The sequence below is a fragment of the Homo sapiens genome, chromosome 20 (assembly GCF_000001405.40).
Source record: "Homo sapiens chromosome 20, GRCh38.p14 Primary Assembly".
NCBI classification, from domain to species: Eukaryota; Metazoa; Chordata; class Mammalia; order Primates; family Hominidae; genus Homo; species Homo sapiens.
This window is the reverse complement of record NC_000020.11, coordinates 47,306,960-47,328,219: the sequence shown is the minus strand read 5'-3', so window position 1 is coordinate 47,328,219 and position 21,260 is coordinate 47,306,960. Positions and strand designations below refer to the sequence as shown.

Genomic DNA, 21,260 nt, shown 5'->3' with positions numbered 1-21,260 from the left:
CAAAACATCCCTTGTCTCTGATCCCTCTCTTTACCTTATTATCCTTCTCTGCTTCCCCTGTCCTGTTACACCCTTTAAGGGCCTTTCAAGTTTAGATTTAATGATCTAGGGTAGTCATGGTAGCTCATGCCTGTAGTCCCAGCATTTTGGGAGGCCAAGGCAGGAGACTTACTGGAGCCCGGGAGTTCAAGACCAGCCTGGGCAACATAGTGAGACCTCATCTCTGAAATAAAAAAAAATTGCTGAGCTTGGTGGCATGCACCTGTAGCCTCAGCTACGTGGGAGGCTGAGGCCGGAGGATCACTTGAGCCCAGGAGGTCAAGGCTGCAGTGAGCTGTGATTGCACCACTGCACTCCAGGCTGGGCGACGGAGCAAGACCTGTTTCTGGAAAAACAAACAAAAAAACAATAAGTTATAGATTTAATTATCTGAAAGTTAAGAATAATGGAGACCTCGGCAAACAGGGATTCTGGAGTTCTACCCAAAGTGGGCAGGCGGGAGGATTGTTCCATGTGGGAATAGGGGGCCCTATGTGGAGGGATCTTGTGATTTTCTTTTCTTTCCTTTTTGAGTCTTACTCTGCCGCGCAGGCTGAAGTGCAGTGGCACAAACTCTGCTCAGTGCAATCTTTGCCTCCTGGGTTCAAGCAATTCTCCTGCCTCAGCCTCCCAAGTAGCTGGAACTACAGGTGTGTGCCACCACGCCTGGCTAATATTTTTGTATTTTTAGTAGAGGCAGGGTTTCATCATGTTGGCCAGGCTGCTCTGAAACCCCTGACTTCAAACGATCTGCCTGCCTTGGCCTCCCAAAGTGCTGGGATTACAGGTGTGAGCCACCGCACCTGGCCTATTTTTTCTTTAACCCCTTGTTTCATCTGTGAATGACCTTATTTTAAAAGAGAAGCTAGAGCTTCTCTTTAAAGGCGGTGGCTCACGTCTGTAATCCCAGCACTTTGGGAGGCTGAGGTGGGCGGTCGGGAGTTGGAGACCAGCCTGGCCAACATGGTGAAACCCCATCTCTACTAAAAATACAAAATTAGCCAGGCGTGGTGGTGCATGCCTGTAATTCCAGCTACTAGGGAGGCTGACTGGTTTCCTGGCCACTGATTGCTCCTTTTCCAGATCACTGGTTCACCGCATCAGCTGTAAGTAGTGCTCTCTTCCTAATAAGGCTGACCTGGTTTTGCGCACCACCTCCTTAATGACCCTCCCGTAACTCCCCATCCCCAGACTTCAAGTTTGGGTACAGTCACTTCAAACCAGGTTGCTATTTCTTGACTTGGGACCAGATACAGTAGCAGTTGATAAGAGCCGAGGGACTGTGTTGTAAGACAAATATTTATCTTGAAAATCTAGACCCGTCTTATGCCTGGTGTGATGCTGACACTCTGAGAAGCTCGAGGGAACTAGATGGAGACAGGAAGGAGCAGACTGAATATCTCTTGACTCATTTCCATGGGATGCAGGGAAGATGAACTTGAAAAATAATTTTTTGCTTTTCCCAGTCGAAGCTGAGCCTGTCTGCACATAGATCAGTACCTGTATCTGATCCCTGCTTCTCATAGCAGGGGCAGACTTGGAGAACCCAGAGGGAGACTGAGGATCTACGGAGGTTTTGGAAAAAGAGATCCTCAGACTCAGACGTATAAGAAAAAGGGCCCAGAACCAAGACTGAAGATTTGGTTAAATGGCCATCTCAGTGGCGGGTCTCCTAGAAGGGAATATGTTTTCCCTGGAGAAAGTCATGCCTCTTTTATTTTTATTTTTTGAACTGCTAAATAATTCTGAAACAATAGCTCTCCTCAAGAATAACTGGGAGGCCGGGCATGGTGGCTCACGCCTGGAATCCCAGCTCTTTGGGAGGCCGAGGCGGGTGGATCACCTGAGGTCAGGAGTTCGAGACCAGCCTGGGCAACGTGGTGAAACCCCATCTCTACTAAAAAATACAAAAACTAGCTGGTGGGCTGGATGTGGTGGCTCATGCCTGTAATCCCATCACTTTGGGAGGCCGAGGCAGGCGGATCACGAGGTCAGGAGTTCAAGACCAGCCTGGCCAACATGGTGAAACCCTGTCTCTACTAAGAAATACAAAGAATTAGCCGGGCGTGGTAGCGGGCACCTGTAATCCCAGCTACTCAAGAGGCTGAGGCAGGAGAATTGCTTGAACTTGGGAGGCAGAGGTTTCAGTGAGCTGAGACTGCACCATTGCACTCCAGCCTGAGCCACATGCAATACTCCATCTCAAAAAAATAAATAGATAAATAAATAAAATAAAATAAAATTAGCTGGGTGTGGTGGCATGTGCCTGTAATCCCAGTTACTCAGGAGGCTGAGGCAGGAGAATTGCTTGAATCAGGAGGTGGAGATTGTGCCATTGCACTCCAGCCTGGGCAACAAGAACGAAACTCTGTCTCAGAAAAAAAAAACAAAACAAAATGGAAAAAGAATAATTGAGAGAATGAGTAAATTGGTTGTCTTAGAAAAACCTCCTGAGATATCCCCCTTTGATTTTTCAGTAATTGCATTTAGCTGAATGGCCCCATCCCATTCAAGTTATAAATCTTTACTTACTCCCCTGCTTTTGGGGGAAATGGGTTCTTTAGGCAAGAGAATGGCTGAGTACCTGTTGAAAGGAGAATGTCCTGTTCTGGGGTCCCTTTCAGAGGCCGACGTGACCAGGCTCCCATTTGTGTAATCTTCCCTGTTGACTTCGCTACCCTGCTGCCTTCCTGATTTGCTGGAAGAAATTCTTAGACTGGGGAAGAAAAACTGGAGTTTGCTGAGTCAGGTTGGCTGGCCCACCTGTACAGGGCTTTGTTAACCCTGTACAGTCGCTCAGTTAGTCGGTCTGATATGTACTTTGGGGTACTTCCGAGCCAGGCCATGTACCTGGCACTGGGCTACAGCAAAGAAGGATGGACAAGCTGAGATTGAGCTCACACTCTGGAGGGAGAGACACAATAAACCAGTGAACCAGCAGAAGAGGAAAATAATTTTTGATAATTTTCAACTATGGGCCAGGTGTGGTGGCTCACGCTTGTAATTGCAGTACTTTGGGAGGCCGAGGTGGGTGAATCACCTGAGGTCAGGAGTTTGAGAGCAGCCTGGCAAACATGGTGAAACCCCGTCTCTACCAAAAATACAAAAATTAGCTGGGCGTGGTGGCGCACGCCTGTAGTCCCAGCTACTCGAGAGGCTGAGGCAGGAGAATGGCTTGAACCCAGGAGGTGGAAGTTGCAGTGAGCCAAGGTCACACCATTGTACTCCAGCTTGGGCAACAGAGCGAGACTCCTCAAAAAATAAAAAATAAAAAATAATTTTCACCTATATATGACTGTAATGAAGGGAAAAAAATAACTTCAGGATTATATAATAAGGAGTCTGGAGGCTGGAGGCTGGGGTGGTCAGAGAAGGCCTCTCTAGGGCAGTGAGCCAAAAGATGAAGTGGCAGCTATGGAGAGGACTGGGCACAGAACATTATAGATGAAGGGGCCAGCCGCATGCGAAGGAGCTTGTCTAAGGAGCTGAAAGGAGGCCATTGGGGTTGGAGCTGAGTGAATGAAGGAGAGAAGGTGGGCAGGATCAGGTCACCAGGGGCACTGCAGGTCTTCATAAGACCTTAGGTGTCTACAGTAAGCTCTTTGAGGGTTTTAAGCAGGGAGTGCACTATCTTATTGAGGTTTTTATTTACTTTTTTATTTTTTGAGACAGAGCTTCTTGTTGCCCAGGCTGGAGTGCAGTGGCTCGATCTCGGCTCACTACAGCCTCCGCCTCCCAGGTTCAAGCGATTCTCCTGCCTCAGCCTCCCGAGTAGGTGGGATTACAGGCACCCGCCACCATGCCTGGCTAATTTTTTGTATTTTTTAGTAGAGATGGGGTTTTACCATGTTGGCCTGGCTGGTCTCGAACTCCTGACTTCAGGTGATCCACCTGCCTTGGCCTCCCAAAGTGCTGGGATTACAGACGTGAGACACCACGACCGGTAAAGGTTTGGCATTCTTTTTTTTTTTTTTTTTTTGAGACAGAGTCTCGCTCTGGCGCCCAGGTTGGAGTGCAATGGCATGATCTCGGCTTATGGCAACCTCCGCCTCCCGGGTTCAAGTGATTCTCCTGCCTTAGCCCCCCGAGCAGCTGGGATTACAGGCGTCCTCCACCACCACACCCAGCTAATTTTTGTATTTGTAGTGGAGACAGGTTTTCACCATGTTGGCCAGGATGGTCTCGATCTCTTGACTTTGTGATCCATCAGCCTCGGCCTCCCAAAGTGCTGGGATTACAGGCGTGAGCCACCACGCCCGGCCAGGTTTGGCATTCTTAATAACACTTGGCAGATGACTAGGACTCTGAGGCTCAGAGAGGTGAAGTAACCTGTTGGGACACACAGCCATGTGAGCCAGGACCAGCTCTCTCCCTAGCTTGATGAGCCTCATTTGAGTGGAGAGGGGAGTGCAGTTGGAGGAGTCCTGGGGGAAGGTCAGTGGAGGTGGGGTGGGGCTGGGATTGTGGGCCATCTGGAGAATTCTGCTTTGATTTTCAAGGAAGTTCTGAGCCCTGGAGGGATTTTGAGCCTGGCTTCCTTGAGCTCCTGACAGCCTGAGGGGGTTTATTGTGAATATTTGTGTTTCTCATCAGTGAACCCTTTTTAAAAACAGGCTTGGAAGAGGTAGTCTGGTGAAGGTACAGAAAGATTTGGGGGCCAGGTGCAACAGCTCATGCCTGTAGTCCTAGTACTTTGAGAGGCTGAGGTGGGAGGATCACTTGACCCCAGAAGTTTGAGACTAGGAGATCCCATCGCTACGAAAAATAAAAAATTAAGTGGTCATGGTATTGCACACCGTGGTGTTAGCTACTTGGGAGCCTGAGGTGGGAGGATCGCTTGAACCTGGGAGGTTGAGGCTGCAGTGAGCCATGACTGTGCCACTGTCCTGCAGCCTGGCTGACAGAGTGAGTCCCTGTCTCCCCCAAAAAAGAGAAAAGTTGGGGGAAATGAGTTTGAAATTTCTCGGTTATTGCCTTTTTCTGTGCCCTGGCCCCCTCTTCCCCCCAGGAGAATAATGGTAATAAAGTATGGTGCTTTGATGTGCCAGATGCCTTTCATTCACTTTGTATGCATTATCTTATTTAATCCTCACAACCCTTTTGGGAAGAGCCTAATAGTTCCAACTGAATGACTGAGTCACAGAGAGGCTAAGAAACTTGCCCAAGGTCACACAGCTGGCAGGTGCCAGCACCTGGATTCAGACCTAGTAGTCTGGCTCCAGAGCCCACACACTGAACGACAATGCTGTGTTGACGTTGGCCAATGCCAAGCATGCCCTTTGTGATGGAGAATTACCAGGTGGCACTCACAAGCCTAGGAGAGACAGTTGACCTGTACAGTGAAGGGCTTTAGAGTGGAACTCAACCGTGATGGAGGTGGGGCGTGCTGTGTCGATCTGCTTGTCTTGAAGCATATAAATGACTTTGCCTCTCTGAGCCTCACCTATAAAATGGGTACAGAAATACCATCCTGGCTGGGTGTGGTGGCTCACGCCTGTAATCCCAGCACTTTGGGAGGCCGAGGCAGGTGGATCACGAGGTCAGGAGATCGAGACCATCCTGGCCAACATAGTGAAAATGGGTGTGGTGGTACGTGCCTGTAGTCCCAGCTACTTGGGAGACTGAGGCAGGGGAATCACTTGAACCCAGGAGGCGGAGGTCGCAGTGAGCCAAGATCGCGCCACTGCACTCCAGCCTGGAGACAGAGTGAGATTCTGTGCTGAAAAAAAAAAAAAAAAAAAAGAAATGCCATCCCAACCTCTTGGGATTCTTGGGACAGTTTGTAGCTTCTCAGTAAACAATAGCTGTGAACCACATGAAACCCTTCTGCAAAGGAAATAGAGGAATATTTCCCTGTCTATCCTCACACCTGCTAGGTGTGTTCACAAACTCCTGATATTTTTCCTGTTCAGTGGTTTGTCCATCTGTAATCAGTTTCTCAATCATTCTGTACTTAATAGCCGCTTTACCATGGGCCTGGTTTTCTCTGGGCTTTCATTACCTTATCAATGAAACAGGGAGGCTGGGTGAGGTGGGTCACATCTGTAATCCCAGCACTTTGGGCGGCTGAGGCAGAGGGATTGCTTGAGCCCTGGAGTTTGAGACCAGTCTGGGCAACATGGCGAGACCCCTTCTCTACAAAAAATACAAAAATTAGCCAGGCATGGTGGCCTGTGCCTGTAGTCCTAGCTACTTGGGAGGCTGAGACAGGAGGATCTCCTGAGCCTGGGAGGCTGAGGTTGCAATGAGCCCAGATTGTGCCACTGCACTCCAGCCTAGGTGACAGAGTGAGACTCTGTTTCAAAAAAAAAAAAAAAAAAAAAAGGGCGGCGAGTTTTAAATAAATCGATATTTGTATTTCTAACAATGCCTCCCAGATAGTAACTGCTCAATAAAAGGTAGCTGTTACAACTGTGTTTCTAGCTGTCCTTCCATCAGGGCAGAGGCCTTCCTGGGACAGTTTTCCTGATAGCCCAGATATCTAGTTGTTGCCTAGTGACTATTTGTTGACTGACTGGTCCCATTATTTTCTTTGAAGTCTGAAGTCAGGGCCACCAGGTGAAACATCAGGAATCATTTTCCTTCTTAATGAATACATGCACCTCTGTGGGTGGTGTGTTTACACATGGTGAGACCTGCCTGGTAGCTCACTGAAGTTTCTTTCTACCAGGATTTCTCAGCCTTGGCACTGTGGACTTTGGGCCTGATCATTCTTTGTCTTAGGGCTGTCCTGTGCATTGTAGAATGTTTAGCAACATCCCTCACCTCTACCCAGTAGATGCCTGTCGCAACTCCTTTTCCTGCCCAGTTGTGACAACCAAAAATGTCCCCAGACATTGCCAGATGTCCCCTGGGTGTGCTGATACTGCTTTCCACTCTTCTAAACACCTGAGCCCCGTAAAAGTGTTTGTTTGATGATGGGGGCGTGTACTGAGCTCCTGCTGTATGCCGGGTACAAGGGATACAGACGTGATCCCTGGCTGGGCAGTGCCCAGGATGCAGTGAGTGTTCCATAAATATTGTCATTATCACCCAGTTTCCCCAAAGCCATTAATAAATACCTTCGTTAAATATGTAAACATGATCAGAAATAATTCAGAGGAGTCCAGCGTTTACTGGGTTTCCTGGGTGTTCCTCCATGTCTCTGCAAACCCAGAAGCCTCAGAGAACAAACTTTTACCCTGGTTCTATTTCTGGTCTCCTTTCACTTGGATTTTGGACCATGCCCGTCTATGCAGACGGGATTCCATCTTTATTCCATTTTATGGCTGCATCATGATGTTTCACATATGGGCATCAATGTTGGTTCCTGTCTGACTTTTCTACAAAGCCCTGTTGCAGTGGCTACCCCGTCTATCCTTCTGTGCACCCATGAGCCCTGTAGACAATAGGACATGTTCTTAGAATCACCCCACTACTATCTGAGTGATGTTAAGCATCTTTATTTATTTATTTTTGAGATGGCATCTTGCTCTGTCACCCCGGCTGGAGTGCAATGGCGTGATCTCGACTCACTGCACTCCAGCCTCCTGGGGTCAAGCGATTCTCCTGCCTCAGCTTCCCCAGTAGGAGTAGCTGGTACCACAGGTGTGTGCCACCACACCCGGCTAATTTTTGTATTTTTAATAGAGACAGGATTTCGCCATGTTGGCCAGGCTGGTCTCGAACTCCTGACCTCAGGTGATCCGCCCGCCTTGGCCTCCCAACGTGTTGGGATTACAGGCGTGAGCCACCATGCACAGCCGCAGCATCTTTACGTGGTGGCTGGCCAGGGTAATTTGGGTGACATGTTGGGTCTGAACTCTTCGCTCCCCAAAGGAATGTGACAAGGTGACTGTGGAGGGCCTGTCCCTTCGTACCTGGCGTTTCAGTAGAGAATTTTGCCTTCTTTAGGTGGCTTTTAGAGATACCATCCAGGGCAGATGGGGACCTTGGTTGGTTAGCAGTGGCGCCTCTTCCTTCATCTGCCCCCTTTCTGAAGCTAATTTCCCTTTGCTTCTCCCAACCCACTTCTGTGCTTCAAATGCTGCCAGCACAGAACTGTCTTTTTGTTTCTGAATTGCCCTCTGACGCCGCGATTCCCCATTGCAGTTTGGAAGCCACTACCACCGGAGATTTCCAGAACCCAAGCCAGGCAGGGGCTGGATAAATAGTGCCAACGGGTGTCAGCCACCAGAACCAGCTCCTCAGCCAGCCACAATGTAAAGGCCAGAGGCAACCGGTTTCTCCACATTCTTTGTGGTGTTCCGGTCGAGTTTGAAGGGCCTCATGTACACATGTTGGAGGGAGCCTTTGGGGCCTGGGCCTGCTGAGGGGGTGGGTGGGTGGTGGGCAGTGCGTTCTCACAGGGAGTCGGATCCTGCCTCAGTAAAATTGGAAAGAACTTGGCATTCTTGATCCAGGAAATTCCTGTTGCGATGTTGTCGTTTTTCCAGAGGGCCTCATCCCAGCTGGGGAGGAGAAAGGGCCGCGGTTGCTATTGCCTCTAGTTGTTGAGGGCTAAACACTGAATTCAATTGTAAATCAGCCTCTTTTCTGTAGATTGAAGCAATTTCTGTCCTGCCAGGCGAGTTTGGAAGTTCGCCTTTTACATATGAATGTGCCCTTTAATCACCACTTCTGCATTATTGAGAGAAGGGTGGAGGAGGCTGTGTCTAGTGGGAAAGGATTATACCTCAAGTATAAAAGATGGGTTTTCTCATTTCTAGGAGAGGGGCATCAGAACTGGAGAATCTGAAACAATTACTAAAAATGTTAAAAACAACTTCAAAATGCAAACCACAGCTGTTTCCCTCCCCCCAGGCTCCCTTCTGATATTGTCACCTCGGCCAGCAGAACAACTGCAGTTCCTCGTATTTATTCACAATCCCACGAAATCAATGGCTCTTCGGTGCACTGCACCGGAGACTTTCAGCTCAGCCGAGCTGCTGTTGAGGGTGATAAATTATAGGCGAAAGCCCGGGGACATGAAGGCAAGTCGCTGGGTTTCAGACTGCCTGATTGCAAAGAGGTGACAGTGTCCTTGCCCCGCCGGGCGACCTAATGCGTACAAGACCGGGGCTGGCCTGGTAAGTGGTGACTCTTAGCCTGTTCTCTTTGCTTCTTCCTCCTCCCCCTGGGAGAGGCCGCTGAGGATCCGGAAGCAGGAATGTCTGCTGTGGGTGAGCCTCTGTTCTCTTTTGAACAAGAGAGGCTAGGCCCTCTGAGCAGCCGCACTTTCTCAATGGCAGGTAAGTGCCTCCTCTTGGCGTTCCCTGCCCCTCGCATGTTCTGCCTCCGAGGTACTTGATGTTCCTGGTGAAATGCCATTTTCCCCAAGTTGAGAGTGACCTTTCATTCCACAGCCTCATTTCCATTCCAGCCCTCCCTATCCCGGCTCTGGATGAGAAGTTCCTGTTGATTTGCAGAGATTCTTTATAAGCACAGTTCAGGCCAGTGCAGTCCTCTGGAGGAGAGGGCTCAGCCCGGCAGCTCTGGCAGGCCCAAGTCAGCCAGGGTGCAGACCGGTCCTCGAGTTTCTGTGGGTCTAAGAGACGGTCAGCGTTGGAGGAAATAATCATTTGCTAATGCGAGCGGTTTTCATTTACAAGTTCCTCCTGGCTTAGGCATTCTCTGCTGCGAGGACAATTTTGCTTCCTCCCCACCCCCAACCTTTGCTCCTGATTTCTTACTTCTATGCTCTGCCAGGAGGAAATTCCGGACTTTTGTCTCTTTATGATGTAATTACTGGTTGGGGAGGGCCCCAAATATTCCTGGGGAAGGGAGGCCTGTTTGGGTACCTGCTCTGTGTCTTTGGGAAACGCTTTGAAGTGATTAACCATGCTCTGCTTTGCTGCTTCTGGGGGAGCAGCAGTGTGTGGTCATGTTTGAAGTAGGCCAAGGGGAGGACTGGTGATTACGAAAAGGGCTGTAGAGCAGGCCTCTGCTTCTGACCCTGCCTTCACAGTTACTGGGGGAAACCTGGCATTTTCAGTCTGATTGAAATGCAGAAATCCTGTCCTGGGCTGATTCTGGTCTCCAGTCTACACAGGCCGGTGTTTTCCATAGCTTTGAACTTGTGGAATTGATTTAACATGCTCCTTCCAGAAAGCAAGCTGTGTTTTTGGAGTGGGGGGCGGTAGTCGGGGAGGAGGTGGAAGAGAAGCAAGAAAAGGAGGAAGAGTGATTGGTTAAAAAAAATACAGTTACCCATTAGTTACCATTGAATAGGTGCTTACTATTTGCCAGGTATTATACTAAGAGCTTTACGTGAATTAACTCATTGACTTCTTCGATAACTTTACAAGGTACCACTTGTAAAGTGGTAAACTCTCTGAGGCACAGAGAGGTTAAGTTGCCTTTTTACGGTCACACTGCAGGGGAGAGCACAGCCAGGTTCTGCATGCATTTTGACGCCAGAAAGCTGATTCCCCACCACTGTGGCATCCTGCCTCTCTGTCGTTTGCAACCTGGCCCATGAGAGCATATGCCTTGACCTATGTGTCCTGGTTTGCCCGGGACCCAGCTAAGCACATGGTTGGTTGCCCTACTCCTGTGGCCTGTCATGCCTGTCTCAGCCTGTGGACCAAGCTTCTCTTTTCGTTCAGGCCCCAGCAGGCTTGCTGTCGACATCATTAAGGAAATTAAACACCCACAAAAACACAAGAAGCTCCCGGCCTTTCAGCTGCGGCCCTTTCCCTTGAGGGAGGAGACAATTCCCTGTAATGGTGTGTCATTTCCTAGCCCCTGGAGAACGGCATGTGCTGTGACTCAGGCACCGGATGTGGGGGCAGGAGTGGGGTGGAGGGCGGGTACCTGATGTGGCCTGCTGGGGAGGCCTAGCCTTGATGGAGGCTGGAAAAGGGGAGGTGAGTTGGCCCTGGAGCCCCCAGCCTATTTCAGGGACTGATGCCACTGTTTGGAAATTGGGAGGTGAATGTGCTTTCTGGGGACTGCCTTTGAGAGAACGGTGTCATCAGTGAATGACACGACTTTCCACCTTTTCCCAGTTCCTGAAACTGTTTGTTGGACCTTCTCTGTCCCTATACTTCCATCTGCAGTTTAGGGGAAAAAAGGCAAAATGAGAGTGTGCTCTTAAATCATAGACCCTAAATTAGGGAGTCCTCTTGCTACAGGGCTGAGGATGAGGCCCTCCTGGTACAAGGCCATGTGGTACAGAGATTAGAAGCTGGCCCTCGGAGTCCCACTGCCTGGGTTGAAATCCCAGTACTGCTCTGGCCCTCGGAGCCTCACTGCCTGGGTTCAAATCCCAGCACTGCTCCTTGGTAGCTTTGTGATCTCAGGCAGGTGACTTAGTGGGGACTACAGGAAATGCATTTTGAACATTGCCTAGAATATCACATATAATAAAAGAAACTCTTAGCTTTCTTTCTTTTTTTTTTTTTTTGAGAGCGAGTCTTGCTCTGTCACCCAGGCTGGAGTGCAGTGGTGCGATCTTGGCTCACCACAACCTCCACCTCCCTGGTTCAAGCAATTTTCCTGCCTCAGCCTCCCAAGTAGCTGGGATTACAGGCGCACACCACCACTCCTGGCTAATTTTTTTGTATTTTTAGTAGAGATGGGGTTTCACCATGTTGGCCAGACTGGTTTTGAACTCCTGACCTCAGGCAATCTGCCTGCCTCGGCCTCCCAAAGTGCTGGGATTATGGGTGTGAGCCACCACACCTGGCCGAAACTCTTAGCTCTTCATACTCTTGGCTCAGGAAAGCTATGAGCCTGTGTTATCTTGAATTAAGATGCCCCTTAAATCAAAAGACATCCAGGAAGTGCTGAGCTCCAGGATGATTTCTGGTGGATCACAGGCTTGGGAAGGATCTCCTCATATGCTTGGTTCCTTTTTTTTTTTTTTTTGAGACAAAGTCTCGTTCTGTTGCCCAGGCTGGAGTACAATGGCATGATCTCGGCTTACTGCAACCTCCGCCTCCTGGGTTCAAGCAATTTTCCTGCCTCAGCCTCCTGAGTAGCTGGGATTATAGGTGCTCACCATCACATTCAGCTAATTTTTGTATTTTTAGTAGAGACGGGGTTTCACCATGTTGGTCAGGCTGGTCTCGAACTCCTGACCTTGTGATCTGCCCACCTTGGCCTCCCAAAGTGCTGGGATTACAGGCGTGAGCCACCGTGCCCGGCCTCATGCCTGGTTCTTAATACCCAGTAGACCTTCCCATATTGTTACAATTTCAGCAAAATGTCACAAGGAGAGGAAAATTCTGCTGCTTTCCGCTCCATGCCAAGCTGTTTTCCTGAGTCACTGCTCTGTCCTCTCCATAAGGCTGCATTCCTCCCTCACCCACGTTAACTCATTCAGAACCACTCATTTTTGGGGGATGGGTGAGAGGCAGAGGGTTGTGAGTGAGCCAGCCGGGCGGGGTCACAGGTCCTACTCCCTCAGAAAAGGCAGCAGAAAAGTCTTTCAGATCCAGGGTGAACCAGTGGTTCAGTCGACAGTGGCTGTTTGTCATTGTTCAAAGTTTATAGATGAAATGCACTGGGCAATACATCCTTGTCAGAATTAAATCATTAAAGAAGAAAAAATTGACTCAGCTTTCTGGAAAGGGTCCTTATGGAGCCTGGGTACCACGGCTACAGTCAGGTGTACACCCACCAGTCCATCATCACCAGAGGCCCAGCCCCCACTGGAGTGGGGGGCATTTAAGTAATAATGCCCCCCTGCTGTCTCATCCCTCCGAAGGATACCGAATCCAGCAGGCATTTCCTAATTCTTCTCCCTACAACCCTTCATTGAAATCTCCTGCTGTTGACTGATGTGTCTGTTGTTTGGAACCTATCAAATTTCGACCCCTTGGATACAGTCACTGAACTCTCATCAACTCCAGGGGGAATTGGTGTTTGTAACAGCAAACAGAATTGGGGTTTTTATGTTTTGCTGAAACTAGAAGGTTTGGAATACTCTCAGGTGTGGGCATGCTTGGGCTAGGACCCACCTCCCCCTACCTCTTGCTGAGCAGAACCTCAGTTTCCCCCTTTGTTTCCTGGTGGGCTTGGGTGATAGTCCCTTGCCAACTCTAAATCGCTTACAAGTATATTACTGTCTAGTGATTTTTTTTCCCACTTTCTCATTAAATTAAGTAATGTTGAAGAGGGACTTTTAACATCCTCTGGGGGCCCTGAAGTTTTTAATCATTGGAGCTGAGGACACCTTTGCAAAGGTGAAGGAAGCTATGACTCCATGTCCCTAGAAATTGCACTCCTGTATACAGTGATGGCCTGTTCAAGGGTCCCTGGAGCACTGTCTGGTCTTTAAACAAGAACTTCTAGTCTAGTCCCTTTCTCCCGGCTCTTCCCATTTTGCAGGTGAGGCCCTGAGGCCCTGAGAGGTGGAGACTTGCCTGGGGTTGTTTCCTGTTTAGCCTCATTCTCCAGCCTGACTCCCTTGCTTAGCTTCTATCCTGAGTCCTGAACCAACCCCTCAAATAATGTCTGGAAGTAGAGGCCATTGGCTCTGGCTCGCCAGTGTGGAACAGGATTGTGTAGAGTTGAGAACTCAGACCCCATCTCCTAAACACATACACATACCCTAGCGTTCCTCAAACTAGTGTACCTCCCAGTCTTCGGGAGGACTTATTAAAACAGATTGCTGGGCCCTACCCCAGAGTTTCTGATTCTGTAGATCTGGGGTGGGGCCTGATAATTTGCATTCTTTTTGTTTTGTTTTGTTTTTAAAGATGGAGTCTCTCTCTTTCGCCCAGGCTGGAGTGCAGTGGTGCAATCTTGGCTCACTGCAACCTCTGCCTCCTGGCGCCAAGTGATTCTCCCGCTTCAGCCTCCCTAGTAGTTGGGACTACTGGAGCGTACCACCACACCTGGCTGATTTTTGTATTTTTAGTAGAGACAGGATTTTACCATCTTGGCCAGTCTGGTCTCGAACTCCTGACCTCAAGCGATCTGCTAACCTCAGCCTCCCAAGGTGCTGGGATTACAGGCGTGAGCCACCGCACCTGGCCAATTTTCTTTATTTTCGTAACGTCATCCAGTCACATGATAAATAAGTACACAAGGGTATAGAGTGGAAAATAATCCTTCCCTGGACTCCCCTTCCCTGGACTCCCTGCAGGCACCCCTCCCAAGGCAACCAGTAGTCCCCAAGTCGAGCTTTGTTGTACTTTTGTGTTCATCCAGGAATATTCTAGGTTTATGCAAACATTGATGTGTATATTAAATCTTTTTTTGGGAGGAATATTGGTCCATTAATGGTGCTAGATACACTTTATTTATTATTAATTTTTTTGAGACGGAGTCTTGCTCTGTTGCCCAGGCTGGAGTGCAGTCGTGCGATCTCAGCTCACTGCAACCCCTGCCTCCTGGGCTCAATCGATTCTCCTGCCTCAGCCTCCCAAGTAGCTGGGACTATAGGCACGTGCCACCACACCCAGCTAGTTTTTTGTATTTTTAGTAGAGATGAGGTTTCACCATGTTGGCCAGTCTGGTCTCGAACTCCTGACCTCAGATGATTCGCTTGCCTCGGCCTCCCAAAGTGCTGAGATTACAGGTGTGAGCCACCGTCCCCAGCCTAATTATTATTATTATTATTTTTTTGAGATGGAGTCTCACCCCTCTGTTGCCCAGGTTGGAGTGCAGTGGTGCGATCTTGGCTCACTGCAAGCTCCGCCTCCCAGGTTCACGCCATTCTCCTGCCTCAGCCTCCCGAGTAGCTGGGACTACAGGCGCCCGCCACCACGCCCGGCTAATTTTTTGTATTTTTGGTAGAGACGGGGTTTCACCATGTTAGCCAGGATGGTCTCGATCTCCTGACTTTGTAATCCGCCCGCCTTGGCCTCCCAAAGTGCTGGGATTACAGGCGTGAGCCACTGCGCCCGGCCTCCAGCCTAATTTTTATATTTTTTGTAGATGCGGGGTTTCACCATGTTGCCCAGGTGTTTTTAGATCTTTTTAAAGAACTTAAAAATTTTTATAATTAAATTTTTTTTTTTTTTTTTCAGAGACAGTGTCTCTCCTTTTCACCCAGGCTCCGACGTGATCATAGTTCACAATACCCTCAAACTCCTGGGCTCAAGCAATCCTTCCCCCTCGGCCTCTCAAAGTGCTGGGATTACAGGTGTGAACACTGTGTCCGGCCATGTGACTGTAATGTATTCTTAGAGCAGTCCTCTGTTTGCAGACGTTTGTTTCAAGTGCTTTGGGTACAGCCCACAGTGCTGCAGTGCAGTCATCTTGCCTTTGCTCCTTTTCCACTATGTTTGTAGAATGTGTTTCTAGAGGAGATTGTTGGGTCAAAGGCCAAGTGGAGAAAAAGTTTTCAGGAACAGTGGCGAGAGTCGGGTGAGGACCCATGTGGGAGGGAGGGGAGGTTTCTCTGGGGGAATGTGCTCACCCCGGGCTGCACCTCTCTCTCTTTTTTTTTTTTTTTTTTGAGACGGAGTCTCGCTCTGTCGCCCAGACTGGAGTGCAGCGGTGTGATCTCGGCTCACAGCAACCTCTGACTCCAGGGTTCAAGTGATTATCCTGCCCCAGCCTCCCAAGTAGCTGGGATTATGGGTGTGCGCTACCATGCCTAGCTAATTTTTGTGTTTTTAGTACAAAAGTACGGGGTTTCACCATGTTGGCTAGGCTGACCTCTTTGTCTCTTTCGTGAGTTTTCCCACTAACTAGCTGCTGTGTGCCTTTGGTCCAGCGCTTTGGGCTCTCTGGGCCGCCCTTTTGATGTCTGTGGTTTGATCTCTGGACTCTCAGGTCTGTTCACCCTCAAGGTACCTGTTGTTAGCATTTAATTTCCACTCATGACTGGGTCTCCACGCAGCCCCCTGAATATTTGTTCAGGATTGTCCAGAAGCTTGCATGGTGAGGCTGGAGAGTTCCATCCTGTAGATTGGGTTTTGGGAAAGTGTTCATTGTCTTCCTTTGTGAATCTGCTGGAAGATACTTTGCCTTTTCATGAAAGTCAACCACTAGGAGGCCTTGCGTGGACCACGTTGGATGCTGTTAATCTGCTGTCAGTGACCCTCCTACAGACAGGGAGACAGATGCACCATGCAGCCTACATGCTGAGTGGTAAAACTGGGGCAGGAGCATCTTTGGTAATTGACATCTTCGCAGATTTCACATCCCATCCCACCCCATCCCCCCTATGGTCTTGGCACAGCTCACCCCTCTTGTGGTATTTGTAGCTTTCGTTCCTCAGGATGTCAGGTACACCAGGCTGTGTCATTACATCGTCCCTAAGTTAAGAAGACCACCATTGGGCATGGAGTGGATTCAAGTCCTTGGAGGTGAAGATTGAATGGATGGTAGTGGAAGTGTACCTGTGTTTATGTATTTTTATTATTATTTTTGAGACAGAGTCTCACTTTTGTCACCCAGGCTTGAGTGCAGTGGTGTGATCTCGGCTCACTACAACCTCTGCCTCCTGGGTTCAAGCGATTCTCCTGCCTCAGTCTCCCAAGTAGCTGGGATTACAGGTGTGTGCCACCACACCCAGCTAATTGTTTTTGTATTTTTAGTAGAGACGGGGTTTTACCTTATTGGCCAGGCTGGTCTTGATCTCATGACCTCCCGCCATTGTTCGTGAAAACTTTTTCTCCACTTGGCCTTTGACCCAACAATCTCCTCTAGAAACACATTCTACAAATACAGTGGAAAAGGAGCAAAGGCAAGATGACTGCATTGCAGCACTGTGGGCTGTACCCAAAGCACTTGAAACAGACGTCTGCAAACAGAGGACTGGTTTTACCATGTTGGCCCAGCTGGTCTTGATCTCGTTAACATGGTTTTACCATGTTGGCCAGGCTGGTCTTGATCTTGTGACCTCAGGTGATCCGCCTGCCTCGGCCTCCCAAGGTGCTGGGGTTTATAGGTGTGAGCCACCGTGCCTGGCTGAAGTGTACATGTGTTTAAATGAGATGCTGAAAGATGAAAAGAAGGGGTGCATGAACAAGAGTGGGGCTGGTGAGAATCCACAAGGATGTAATTTGTATTGATCTTTTTGGAGGAGGGTCTCAAACACGAGGCCCAGAGGCGGTGGGAGCACGGGAACTTCCCGGTGGGTGGGGTGTGTTCTTTCCACACAATTACAGTTCATAGCCTATTAAACACGAATAAATGATGTTGTTTTCCACAAAGGAGAATGTATGCCTTCATTTCCTTGAAGTATGGCCTTCCTGGTCTATCTTCTTTGGTTTCCTGCTTTTGCAATCAGGCATGGGCATGGACAAGTCGTATTTCTTTGGGGTAAGAACAATACTGGTCCCTGTGTGATGACTGTTGGCAGGTTGGCCTCGGTCTCATCAGCAGGGACGTAGTGGGGAAGAGTGGCGATTGCACATGTTTCCATCTAAAAGTGGGGTAGCTGTTACTCAGCTGTATCTGGTGCTATAGGGGCCTGCAGGTCCTAATCTGTTTTTTTTTTTTTTTTTTTTTCACGTCGGAGGCTTGCCCTGTCCCCCAGGCTGGAGTGCAGTGACACAATCTCGGCTCACTGAAATCTCCGCCTCCTGGGTTCAAGCAGTTCTCCTGCCTCAGCCTCCCGAGTAGCTGGGATTAAAGGCATGTGCCACCACACCAGGCTAATTTTTGTACTCTTAGTAGAGACGGTATTGGCCAGGCTGGTCTTGAACTCTTGACCTTGTGATCTGCCCACTTTGGCCTCCCAAAGTGCTGGGATTACAGGCATGAGCCACCGTGCCTGGCCCTCCTAATCTGTTTTTTTAAGAAAAGTGAAAAATCTAGGTTATTACATGAAATTTCCTGATTTTTGTATCTTGGCAACAAGTTAAGATTTTACAAAAATGTTACATAGGTCAAAGAAATACTTGTCTGACTGTTGAAGCAGACAGTGAAGAAGGGGGCACGTATATTCTGGGAGGAGGAACACTGAAGTGGCTTCGGGAGTTGGGGGACAGAATGCACTCTGTTCCCACACTTGGTTCCTCCACACCTCCTCCCTGTGGGGCCCAGGCCTCCCTGACTGCTTTAAAACCTGTGGTCCTGTATCTCTTTCAGATCCTGGCTCTGCAGAGAGAACAGCCCAGAAAAGAAAGTTCCCCAGCCCTCCACATTCTTCCAATGGCCACTCGCCGCAGGACACATCAACAAGCCCCATTAAAAAGAAAAAGAAACCTGGCTTACTGAACAGTAACAATAAGGAGCAGGTAAAGCAGCCGCTGGGAACGGTGTCCTCACTGGTGGGACAGAGGCCAGCTAGTAGCGCTGAACCTCTGGATCCTTGTAAGCGCCGGCTTTCTTGGATTTAGTTAGCTGCCTTGCGCTGGCTGTCATTTGCCTTGGACAAAAAAAGATGGCTAAAAATGGGCCTGTGTAGAAATTTCCAGTGGGTTTTCAGATCTGTTTCGGGGACAGAGCAGGGACCCAGATGAGATGAGGGTATATAATTCTTTAGGGTTTGGGGCGTTTCCTTGTATTTGTATTTTTTTTTTTTTCATGCTTTTAGGACTGTTTTCCCCATGTGGCCTGAGGAGTTTTCCCCTCCTGGGCCATGCCCACAGGACTAGTTCTCAGCTCTGTCTGGAAGCGGTTGCTTGGCTTGAGGCAAGTTCCCTTCTGGCCTCAGTTTTCTCATCTGTAAAATGAAGGGTTTAGAGGCTGGGCCTGGTGACTCATGCCTGTAACCCCAGCACTTTGGGAGGCCGAGGCAGGTCGATCACGAGGTCAAGAGATTGAGACCATCCTGGCCAACCTGGTGAAACCCCGCCTTTACTAAAAATACAAAAAAAGTTAGCTGAGCATGGTGGCATGCGCCTGTAGTCCCAGCTACTCGGGAGGCCGAGGCAGGAGAATCGCTTGAACCCGGGAGGCGGAGGTTGCAGTGAGCCGAGATCGCGCCACTGCACTCCAGCCTGGTGACAGAGCGAGACTCTATCTCAGAAAAAAAAAAAAATGAAGGGTTTAGGTTCTTTGGTAAGAGGCATTGCCAGGGGCAGGCTTAGGTAATTGGTCACAGTTCCTTTTCGTGGAAGCACAGAGGATTCTTTCCAGAGCCCACCCTCCCTTGGCAGCTAGCACCAGTCAGCTAGATAGGAAAAATCCGTTCACCGTTTGGATCTTTTCTAAGGGACATTCTAGCTTTAGAATTCTCTGGGGCAGGCTAGATACTCTTCAGATTACAAAAATGGAGAGGCACTTTAGTGGACTTACTGGTGGATTGTATCTATCCCCCTGGACTATGAGGTCGGATCTCATAGCACTGAAGGAAACAGTGTCCCGTTGGTTCTGATGCCACTTGTTCTTCAGCAGTGATTCCTAGGGATGCATTCATCCACTTTGTGCATTATTGAGTAGAGGAGTGGGCCCTGGGGATGGAAAGTTGAATTAAACGAGATTGTTGCTTTCATGGAAGGAGACCTAGCAACGGTTAAATACCCAGGCCTGTGAGAGGTGTGTGTTTCTGAGCATGAATCTATTTTCACTCTCAAAATTACATAGTGAAATGCCAGCCCTGCTTTTGCTCCGTGGCTGTGGGCAAGTTAACCTCTTTTGTGCCTAGTTTTCTCATCTACTGAAATGGGGATAATGATACTACCACAAATTTCACAGGGTTGTGAACATTGAGCTAAATGCCATAAATAGTGATATTAAAAATGAAACATAAAGTCAGTTTCTCTGCTAAGTAGAATAATCATACAATCTTTATATGAAATAAACAATTCCTGTAAAAATGCTCATGTCTGGCCAGGCGCGGTGGCTCATGCCTGTAATCCCAGCGTTTTGGGAGGCCGAGGCAAACGGATCGCCTGAGGTCAGGAGTTCGAGACCAGCCTGGCCAATGTGGCAAAAACCCTGGCCCTACTAAAAATACAAAAAATTAGCCGGGCGTGGTGGCACATGCCTGTAATCCCAGCTACTCGGGAGGCTGAGGCACGAGAATTGCTTGAACCTGGGAGGCGGAGGTTGCAGTGAGCTGAGATCATATAATTGCACTCCAGCCTGGGCGACAGAGCAAGACTCTGTCTCCAAAAAAAAAAAAAAAACCTCACGTCCAAGATGGTAGCCACAGGTCACATGTGGTTCTTCAGTACTTGAAAATGGCAAGTGACTGAGGAACTGAGTTTTTCAATTTTTTTTTTTTTTTTGAGACAGAGTCTGACTCTGTCACCCAGGCTGGGGTGCATTGGTGTGATCTCGGCTCATTGCAACCTCCACCTCTCAGGTTCAAGGGATTCTTCTGCCTCAGCCTCCCGAGTAGCTGGGATTACAGGCGCCCGCCGCTGTGCCCAGTTAATTTTTTTATTTTTAGTAGAGATGGGATTTCTCCATTTTGGCCAGGCTGGTCTCGAACTCCTGACCTTGTGATCCACCTGTCTCAGCCTCCCAAAGTGATGGGATTACAGGCGTGAGCCACCGCGCCTGGCCTTATTTATTTGAGATGGAGTTTCACTCTTGTTGCTGAGGTTGGAGTGCAATGGCGCAATCTTGGCTCTCTGCAACCTTTGCCTCCCAGGTTCAAGAGATTCTTGTGTCTCAGCCTCCACGTAGCTGGAATTACAGGCGCCTGCCACCACGCCCTGCTAAGTTTTGTATTTTTAGTACAGATGGGGTTTCACCATGCTGGCCAGGCTGGTCTTGAACTCCTGACCTCTGGCGTGAGCCACTGTGCCCAGCCTACCCTCTTTTTAAGAGATGGGGTCTTGCTATATTGCTCAAGCTGGACACTCAAGTTATCCTTCTGCCTCAGCCTCCTGAGTACCTGGGCTTTCCGGTGTCCCTTTATTTATTTATTTATTTATTTTTTGAGACGGAGTTTCTCTCTCATTGCCCAGGCTGGAGTGCAGTGGTGTAGTCTCAGCTCACTGCAACCTCTGCCTCCTGGGTTCAAGCGATTCTCCTGCTTCAGCCTCCTGAGTAGCTGGGATTACAGGCATGCACCACCACACCCGGCTAATTTTTTTTTTTTGTAGTTTTGGTAGAGACGGAGTTTCGCCATGTTGGCCAGGCTGGTCTCAAACTCCTCACCTCAGGTAATCCACCCACCTCGGCCTCCCAAAGTGCTGGTATTACAGGCATGAGCCACCGTGCCTGGCCAAGTTCCGGGGTCCCTTTTTTTATAAGGGCACTAATCCCATTCATGAGGGCAGGGCCCTGATCACCTCTCAGGGCCCCACTTCTCTAATGCCATCACCTTGGGGTTAGAACATCAACATAGAAATTTGGGAGGTACACAAGCATTCAGACCATAGCACTCAGCAAAATCTAGCAACCAGCTGGAGCTGAGTCAAGCCTGCCCCTTTAGA

The 21,260-nt window shown here is 49.1% G+C and overlaps 1 protein-coding gene and 1 long non-coding RNA gene across 21 annotated transcripts in view, besides 7 other annotated features; one reads left to right on the top strand and one right to left on the bottom strand.

Annotated features, from left to right (window-relative positions):
• ZMYND8 (zinc finger MYND-type containing 8) overlaps nt 1–21,260 on the top strand; it is a 147,486-nt gene that overhangs the window by 28,480 nt on the left and 97,746 nt on the right. For all 20 annotated transcript variants that reach the window (NM_001281781.3, NM_001281784.3, NM_001281771.3 and 17 more), the window contains one exon: nt 18,016–18,164. In NM_001281781.3, coding sequence (NP_001268710.1) covers nt 18,016–18,164 — 149 coding nt within the window. The remainder of the gene's footprint in view (nt 1–18,015; nt 18,165–21,260) is intronic.
• Nucleotides 5,308–6,225: an enhancer, noted in NCBI's record as "H3K27ac-H3K4me1 hESC enhancer chr20:45950739-45951656 (GRCh37/hg19 assembly coordinates)". NCBI's record gives its function as "activates a minimal SCP1, AML or CMV promoter by ChIP-STARR-seq in primed H9 embryonic stem cells {active_cell/tissue: H9 hESC(primed)}" and the evidence as "EXISTENCE:reporter gene assay evidence [ECO:0000049][PMID:30033119]".
• Nucleotides 7,466–9,718, bottom strand: LOC100131496 (uncharacterized). The gene has a single exon (NR_024594.1). It is a non-coding gene; the product is annotated as an uncharacterized LOC100131496 (long non-coding RNA).
• Nucleotides 8,062–8,980: an enhancer, noted in NCBI's record as "OCT4-NANOG-H3K27ac-H3K4me1 hESC enhancer chr20:45947984-45948902 (GRCh37/hg19 assembly coordinates)". NCBI's record gives its function as "activates a minimal SCP1, AML or CMV promoter by ChIP-STARR-seq in naive and primed H9 embryonic stem cells {active_cell/tissue: H9 hESC(naive and primed)}" and the evidence as "EXISTENCE:reporter gene assay evidence [ECO:0000049][PMID:30033119]".
• Nucleotides 8,981–9,897: an enhancer, noted in NCBI's record as "OCT4-NANOG-H3K27ac-H3K4me1 hESC enhancer chr20:45947067-45947983 (GRCh37/hg19 assembly coordinates)". NCBI's record gives its function as "activates a minimal SCP1, AML or CMV promoter by ChIP-STARR-seq in naive H9 embryonic stem cells {active_cell/tissue: H9 hESC(naive)}" and the evidence as "EXISTENCE:reporter gene assay evidence [ECO:0000049][PMID:30033119]".
• Nucleotides 9,898–10,815: an enhancer, noted in NCBI's record as "OCT4-NANOG-H3K27ac-H3K4me1 hESC enhancer chr20:45946149-45947066 (GRCh37/hg19 assembly coordinates)". NCBI's record gives its function as "activates a minimal SCP1, AML or CMV promoter by ChIP-STARR-seq in primed H9 embryonic stem cells {active_cell/tissue: H9 hESC(primed)}" and the evidence as "EXISTENCE:reporter gene assay evidence [ECO:0000049][PMID:30033119]".
• Nucleotides 9,898–11,733: a biological region, named in NCBI's record as "P300/CBP strongly-dependent group 1 enhancer GRCh37_chr20:45945484-45946683".
• Nucleotides 10,281–11,480: an enhancer, noted in NCBI's record as "P300/CBP strongly-dependent group 1 enhancer chr20:45945484-45946683 (GRCh37/hg19 assembly coordinates)". NCBI's record gives its function as "activates an origin of replication core promoter dependent on BRD2, BRD4, P300/CBP, MED14 and CDK7 cofactors, with strong dependence on P300/CBP, by STARR-seq in HCT116 cells {active_cell/tissue: HCT116}" and the evidence as "EXISTENCE:reporter gene assay evidence [ECO:0000049][PMID:35650434]".
• Nucleotides 10,816–11,733: an enhancer, noted in NCBI's record as "NANOG-H3K27ac-H3K4me1 hESC enhancer chr20:45945231-45946148 (GRCh37/hg19 assembly coordinates)". NCBI's record gives its function as "activates a minimal SCP1, AML or CMV promoter by ChIP-STARR-seq in naive and primed H9 embryonic stem cells {active_cell/tissue: H9 hESC(naive and primed)}" and the evidence as "EXISTENCE:reporter gene assay evidence [ECO:0000049][PMID:30033119]".